The sequence below is a fragment of the Homo sapiens genome, chromosome X (genome assembly GCF_000001405.40).
Source record: "Homo sapiens chromosome X, GRCh38.p14 Primary Assembly".
NCBI classification, from domain to species: Eukaryota; Metazoa; Chordata; class Mammalia; order Primates; family Hominidae; genus Homo; species Homo sapiens.
The window spans coordinates 17,622,919-17,630,493 of record NC_000023.11 but is presented as its reverse complement, the minus strand read 5'-3'; the positions used below and the strand labels follow the sequence as shown (position 1 = coordinate 17,630,493).

At 41.7% G+C, this 7,575-nt stretch overlaps 1 protein-coding gene across 2 annotated transcripts in view, besides 1 other annotated feature; it reads right to left on the bottom strand.

Annotated features, from left to right (window-relative positions):
• NHS (NHS actin remodeling regulator) overlaps positions 1-7,575 on the bottom strand; it is a 360,795-nt gene that overhangs the window by 105,501 nt on the left and 247,719 nt on the right. The window lies entirely within an intron of this gene.
• Positions 1,983-2,842: an enhancer, noted in NCBI's record as "NANOG hESC enhancer chrX:17645772-17646631 (GRCh37/hg19 assembly coordinates)". NCBI's record gives its function as "activates a minimal SCP1, AML or CMV promoter by ChIP-STARR-seq in naive H9 embryonic stem cells {active_cell/tissue: H9 hESC(naive)}" and the evidence as "EXISTENCE:reporter gene assay evidence [ECO:0000049][PMID:30033119]".

Here is a 7,575-nt window from a genome sequence, read left to right as displayed (position 1 = left end):
GCAGCCAACACTCACAGCAGCTGGAGGACCCATGCACTAGCTTGTAAAGGAGATGTAGGCAGGGCACTAACAGCATCCACTACCAGCTCCAACCTGCTAGGAGTTGTGGTCAGCTTTGCACTCTGCTAGGGCTCTAATGTCCCTTTGCTGGCTTGGCCCAAGGTCCCCTTTTACATAAGGGTCTTGGATATGAGTTTAACTTGCAGGAAGGGTTTCGGATGAGATTGGGTGCATTCAGGGTGGTATGGCCTTAGACTGCAGGAAGAGTTTCAGAATGCGATACAATCCTTTCAGTGGCCAGGGCCACCAAGCTGGCACACTAGATTACCAATGCATCCACCGGGGTTATCATTCGCATGCTAAGTTGTGCTAGGGGTTGGCCCAAAGTCATTGTCCCAGAGCCCTTCTCATGAGTTCCAGCCATATCCATTCATATGCTCCATAACCAGTAACTCAGGGAATCTGGCCACCTGGCGATTTGTGCCCTCTCTCTTCTCCCTTGACAGATCAAGATGCAGGCAACTGAACTTCCTTTGCCTTATTCTTGATGAGTCCCAAATAGGTCAGATCACTTTGGAGGGTGGCCAGAAGCTAATTTTGTATTCACCACTGACCTGTTTTGTTCCTCTGGCATTTCAGGAAAAAGTTGGGTGAATGCCTTTTCTCCTTGTTTGCCTGAGTCCCCACTCCCTGGAGCTAAATTTGCAGCCCAGGCCAATGTGATTTATTCAGAGCTACTGCTACTTGTCAGTGGATTGCTGCCCAAGCTTGCTTGCAGCCCATCTGCTGAATTCCTGTACATGTGTGAACATGTGTGGAAAATTAAAGGCCTGGCTGTGGCCTGGAGCTGCCTTGCCCCTCAGCTACTCCAACCTCCATCCACCAGGCCTGATGCCAGTGTCCATTGAAGCCGTCCTCACCACATGGTCAAGAAATGGGGAGCCTCAGTGATAAAGCACTCAGGACCCAGTTCCTGAGTCCATCAGTTGTTTTTCATCAGGAGATTAACCAAGAAGAGTTTACATAGTACTCCATACCACTATAGAGCCCCACGCTACTCAGTCTCTGCTCTCATCAAGGAAGTGTTGCCATTTTGGTTTCTATATCAGGGCAGAGACCCAGGACAAGAAGCAGAGAAGGGAGCAAGAAGTGAGGAGTGCTGCAAAAAAGAGAACAATATGCTTTGCTTTTGTGATTAATTTCAACTCAGGAGGAAGCACAATACTTCCAACTGAAGTCTGGAGCTAGAAACAGGAAATATCCAGGCCTGACTCAACTGTCTCTCCAGAAGCTGTTCTTTAATTGCAAGATGTCAATCTCCCTCTCCCCCTCACCCCAGATTTCATTGTTTGTTTTGTTTTCAGGCATTTAGTTGTTGTTTTCTCTTTTCCTTCACACACTGAGAAATATCTGTAGATGAGCCTGCAGGGCAATCTGGCCCTACTGTAATAACAGAAGTCACAACTCTTAACTCTCTCCTCACTGTTTCCACTAAATCTAAAGCCAACATGCAATGGAAGTTTCTTCATGGTAATAATATAATAATGATAAATGTAATGGTTTATTCATTCAGCAAATATGTATTGAACACCTACTATGTGTCAGGCATGGTTTTAAGTTCTTTGTATGTGCTATTTCAGTTAATTCTTACAGCAACTCTACAAGATAGATAATAGTATTACCTCCATTTTACAGATCAGGAAACTGAGGTGTAGAGAGGTTAAACAACTTGCCCAAGGCATTGGAGGTGGTAAATGGCAGAGCCTGGGCTCCTGACCACTATGCTGGGTTACCCCAATGATAAATGGTAGGGAACCCATTATCCTGCCTCAGAAAGTACAGATTTACCATCTCCCATCACTCACATTCCAATCCTAGTAAAACAGACAATAAGCAAGAGCAGGATTGAAATCCCAGCTACCCACAGGAAACGTCTGTCACTTGCTTTGCTGAGTGTTTCAGGAGGAACATTCATGTGTAGACAGAGTTGTGTGTGTTTGTGTGTGAGTCCATGGGTGTAAGCATGCATATGCATGCATGAGAGGCTACATATGCCCCCTTATGCAATGCTCTCCTTTGAGCCTGGATAAAGAGTTCCCATATCAAATGAAGTTGAAAACAACACTCTAACCTTCCCTCTTTGCACAGATCCCCACTGCTGCTTCCACAAACTGGGATTAAAAAAAAAAGCACTAACACACCCTTCTGACAAGGCTGGGGACCCTCATCCCGGATTTGAGCTGCCTCTCAATTGGGAACCTTCCACTTGGCAGAGCTCCAGTTGTAGCAAGAACAATTACCAAGTACCTGATCACCACAGGGAGTCCAAAGACAAATACATACAAATAAAGACATTTTGGGAGAAGGAGTGAGAGTCTGTGGAGCTGCCATGTGGGCCCCCAAGTTCCCAGTTTAGAACCTTTTGCCCTCCAGGCTGGCACTTCCTCTTCCTTTCTCTAACCCTCTGGCCTTACAGAAATAAAACTTTCATTCCACAACATATTACTTTGACCCTTCCTTCACAACAAAGTGAAAAACACCTGATAATGGCTTAAGCCTGTCCTAGGGTTTTTGCATTTTAATGGAAATCAAGCCTATTGCTGAGAGGACCAACCTGGAATGGTAAAACTAGAGGCATCAGCCAGCAGGTAGAAGAGGATTTGGGCATGGGAGAGGAGGAGAAACCATGGGGTTTTCTACAGTTCTAGAACTAGCTAACACTTCACCTAAGATTGCATGAGGATCCTAGTAAAAACAAAACTGTATTAACTGTATTTTACCCAGAAAAGAGAAAGAACATTAAAATGGTCCTAAGAGCAAGACCATTCAGGAAAAGAGAGACAGCATTAGATGATCACTGAGGTCCCTAATAGTTCTAGCACTCAGATTGAACTTTGGTTCATCTCTTGATGACTCTGGTGCCTTTAGTGTGAATGCTAAAGAAAGGCTTGGCTTCCCCAATCCAAATGTATTCAAGATGGTGCACAGTTGCTGTATTAGTTATGTAACTCCTGATTCTGAGTTGATTGTATTAATTGAAAGGCATTTTGTGCCTAGCCAGTAGTATTGTGTGGTCATTGGTCCTCTGACACTCTGCACTGTGGGCTTGGAAACAGAAAAGTTAGAGTATCTGGTTCAACAAGGAGCCCAGGAAAACTTCAGTCTTGGCATGTCATTTAGCGTGAAATCATTTCAACCAGAATGGTGCTAGCCCTCACTGAGCTCCTGATGGATGCCAATCAAGTCTATTTAGCTTGGCTACCTCAGATAAGGAAATTCCAGAAGCTTTCCAGTTCCTTTTAGATTTATTGTAAATGACATCATGCACCCAGATGCAGAATTCTTGTTGAGTCCAACATTAGGAGAATGGATATGATGGAATTTTAAGATTGGCTAAAAGCTTAAGCAATCAACTTGGGGAAGGGGAAATATTAGAGGGAGATAAAACTCATTTTTCTCATTTGCCCATTCAATGACAAACAACTGACCAGCCACAAAACTTGCAGCAATGGGATCAAATGTTTAGACTTGGAATTCGTCTTTTTCATTTGGAGAGTAATAAGTAAGAGATCCCCATTGTGTCAAATGGAGTAACTTTTCATTTTCCTGTATTCAAAATGGCTTGGAAGTGATGCAGTTCACAAACAGAACAAAATCTTTAAATAACTCTGTACAGATGTTCTTCGGCTCTCCCCTTTGAAACTTGTTAAATTATTTTTGCTGCCTTTGAGTTATAAGATGCTAACCTCAGAGCTGCATTTTCGGCTTAGAATTTCATTCCATTATGTCCCTTTACCTTTTGGATAGCATACCATTGAATGAAGGCAAGGAGACAAACGGCAAGAAAACCTGCCTTATCTTTCTGACACTGATGTGGAGTTCATCACTAAGCACTTAGCAAACTTCCCAGTGCTTAGTTCAAATAAGCACAGCAGCCTGGTCTAAGTCCATAGTGTCATCCCATTGAAGTTTCTGCCATGTCCAACCAGAAAGAAGTCCATTCCAGGGCTGGCTGGGGGCTGCAGCATATTTCACAGCTGTTTCAGAAACAAGGTGAGATTATTCTAGTTTTGTGAAAATATCAAATGAGAAAGTCCTGGAAGCCAAGCTGAAAGGGAACCTGCCATTGCAAACTACGGCTACACAGTGATTCTCCCACCCCTACCTCTCTCTTTGTCAAATATCTTAACTTGCCTATGAAGAAATCCATCATGGCACCAGTTTTCTAGGCAAATAATGAGAATGAGTAAGTTTTTCCTAATCAAGTTTCTAAGCACTGAAGAACAAAGGGATAGAATAGATAAGAAAAGCAAAGGATTAAAAATCTAGATCTGCTCTCTCCAATATGGCAGCCCCTAGCCATATGTGGTTATAGAGCACTTGAAATGTAGCAAGTGTGAATAAGGCACTGAATTTTTAATTTCATTTGATTTTAATTAATTTGAATATGGATACTGCATTCAGTTATTGGAAAACTTTTAAGTACATTTGGAAGAACCTGGATTTGTGAATCTACTTTTTCAAATTTTATAGAATGATATGAAATCTAAATACAGATCAAGTATTTCTGATGAAAATTTACCATCTGAATTCAGATGTGCTATAAATGTAAATATACACTGGAATTTGAAGACTTAGTATAAAAAAGAACGTAAGCTATCTCATTAATAATTTATATTGATTTGATTTTTATGATTATACTTTATGTTGATTTTATATACCAAAATGATAATATTTTGAAAAGAGTGGGCTAAATAAAATTCATTATTAAAATTAATTTCACCAATTTCTCTTGCATTTTTTAAATGGTTACTAAAAATTTTTTAATTACGTAAATGACTCACATCATATTTCTAATGCACATTGCTGGCTTAAAATGAACAAAAGCAATACATTTCAAACTGAAGGATTATAAAGTGTTGAGAAGAACATATGGGTTTTTAATCAGCTAAGAAGCAAATTAATTCATGGTGATTTGCAGTAAGTAGCAACTCCCCATTGTGTGGGCTAACTTAGAGCTTTCAATTCATTGGACGTTTCTATTCTAAAGCTGGCTGGCACTTGGCCATGGTGTTCTAGGGCAGTGGTTCTCAAGTTTTGTTCAGGGAACCTCTGGGGATCCCTGAGATCCTTTCAGGGAGTCTGCAAAGTCAAAACTATTTTTATAATGATATTAATACACTACTTGCCATTTTCACTCATTCTTTCATGAGTGACATGTGATACCATACCAGATGGAACATAGAGGCAGATATGAGAATCCAGCAGTCTTCTATTAAGCCACATTGCTTGCTAGTCAAGAGATTTGCAAAAAAAGTACAAGAAAGCCATTCTTCTCATTGACATTTTTTGTTTTGAAAAATATAGAATTTTCTCCTCAAAATATTTTATTTATAAACATGTTATATATAATGTAGTATATGTAATTATTGTTTGTTGATTTTGAAATAAATTACTAAGAAAATATTTTTATTTCTCAGTTTTAATTTCTAATATGATAAATATTTATATAACTCATACAAACAGAAGCCCTCTGGGGCCCTTAATAATTTTTAATAGTATAAAACCATCCTGATCTATAAGTTTGACAATTGCTGTTCTAGAGGGGCTTGGTAGCGGATGCTGTTATCATCTCTTCCCATCATGCCTTGGCTCACCTCTAAGTCCACTTGTTGCTACTGTGACCATTTCCCACCACAACCATCCAGTTCTCTCTGTTGTTCTGCCTGAGGGCTTTCTCTCATGCTGCAGTACTATTAGTGAGAGTCCAAAACCCACAAATAACCAAATGCTAATTGATAGTAGAATGGATAGAGAAATTCTGGTGTTTCACACCATGGAATACTATACAGCAATGAGAATGAACAAGCCACTGTCACATGCAGTATGGGTGAATCTCAGATATAATGTTGAGTAAAAGCTAGACACAAAAGAGTACATGTTGTGTGATTCCATTTTTCTAAAGTTAGAAATCAGGTAAATCTAATCTATGGTGTTAGAAATCAAGAGAGTGATTTCCTTTGGGGAGGAAGAACAGCTCATGGGGTATCCTGGGAAGCTAATAATGTTTTAAGTCTTGACCTAGTAGCCGGTACAGGAGTGTGTTCACTTTGTAATAATTCCTTGAATTGTATGATTTGGATGCTTTTCTGTATGTATGTTAGACATCACTCAAAGGGTAAAAAAAGAAATCGAATACTAATTATTGTTTTTACACCATGCTCTGCTAGGCACAGAAAAGGGTAAACCAGAATTTTTAGACATGGCTTGTAGTTTTGCCCTTTCATTAGTCCTTGTGAGAAATAAATAATAGTAGATTTCATTTGGAGGTAGGCAGCTTGCGGGGAGCTGTCCTGCTTAAACAGTACAATGATGTATATTTAAATTGACTTTGAATGCCTTTATTTGCTTACAACACACACAGCATCTCAGTCCCCACTACTCCTTAGTATGCTATGCCAACTCTGTCACACGTTGAAGCTGGCTGCCTGGCTGCGTAGGCAGTTGAGCTTGAGACCTACAACTCCAATGATAATTCCAGATGTGACGCAAGCTATTGTGCTATGCAGACCCTGCAGGCTACACTGACAGTGAAGGCCCAGGGTGTGGCTACAGAGGGCAAGGAAGGGTGTGGCATGAGGAAGAAGAGCATGGAGGATGGGGGTGTGTCAGGTTGTGTTCCTTTCTTCCACTGAGGGAGACAGTGAGGAGGGACTGAGAGGGCAGGATTCACAGAGGGCACCACTATGTAAGGGACATGAATGTGGCCTCACCAGCAGGCCCCTGGGGATATTTTTCCAGTCAAGAAATCACTTTTTGCCATCTCTATCACTTCCAATACCCTAGGTTCCTGTCAGTTGAGACTCATACCTATATCCTGTGGTTCATCCAGGTCTCTGGGGGAAGATTGTGAAGGCCTCTTGGAAGACCGAGCACTTCACTCCAACCTTCATCAGGAACAAGCTACATCTCCTAGCCTAGCCACAGTTCCACCTCCCCCCTACCCCCATCCCCACTTCCCACACGCACATGCAAATGAAAGGAGGAGAAAGAGCCTGGGCTTCATTCGCTGTCTAGCACGACTCCACCACTACAAGGGAGGCTGGGAAATTTAGTCTTCCTGGCCGTGTGTCCAGGAAGAAGAGAAGAACATGCATATTGGTAAGCAGTAACTGCCTCTGCCTCATGTTAATTCCCTTCTCCCTGCTTGGAAAGCCAACAACACTTTGCAGGGGACATCAAAGAGGCCATTGAGGGCCGGCCACAGTGGCTTGTGCCTATAATCCGAGCACTTTGGGAGGCTGAGGCAGGAGGATTGCTTGAGCCCAGGAGTTTGAGACCAGCCTGGTCAACATAGGGAGACCCCTCGTTTCTATTATACAAAAAATAAAAGAAAAAATTAGCAGGGCATGGTGGTGGATGACTATAGTCCTAGCTGTTTGGGAGACTGAGGTGGGAGGATCAGTTGAGCTCCGGAGGATGAAGCTGCAGTGAGCTATGATCACACCACTGCATTCCAGCCTGGGTGACTGAGCAAGAACCCATCTAAAAAAAAAATTTTTTTTTAATAATAAA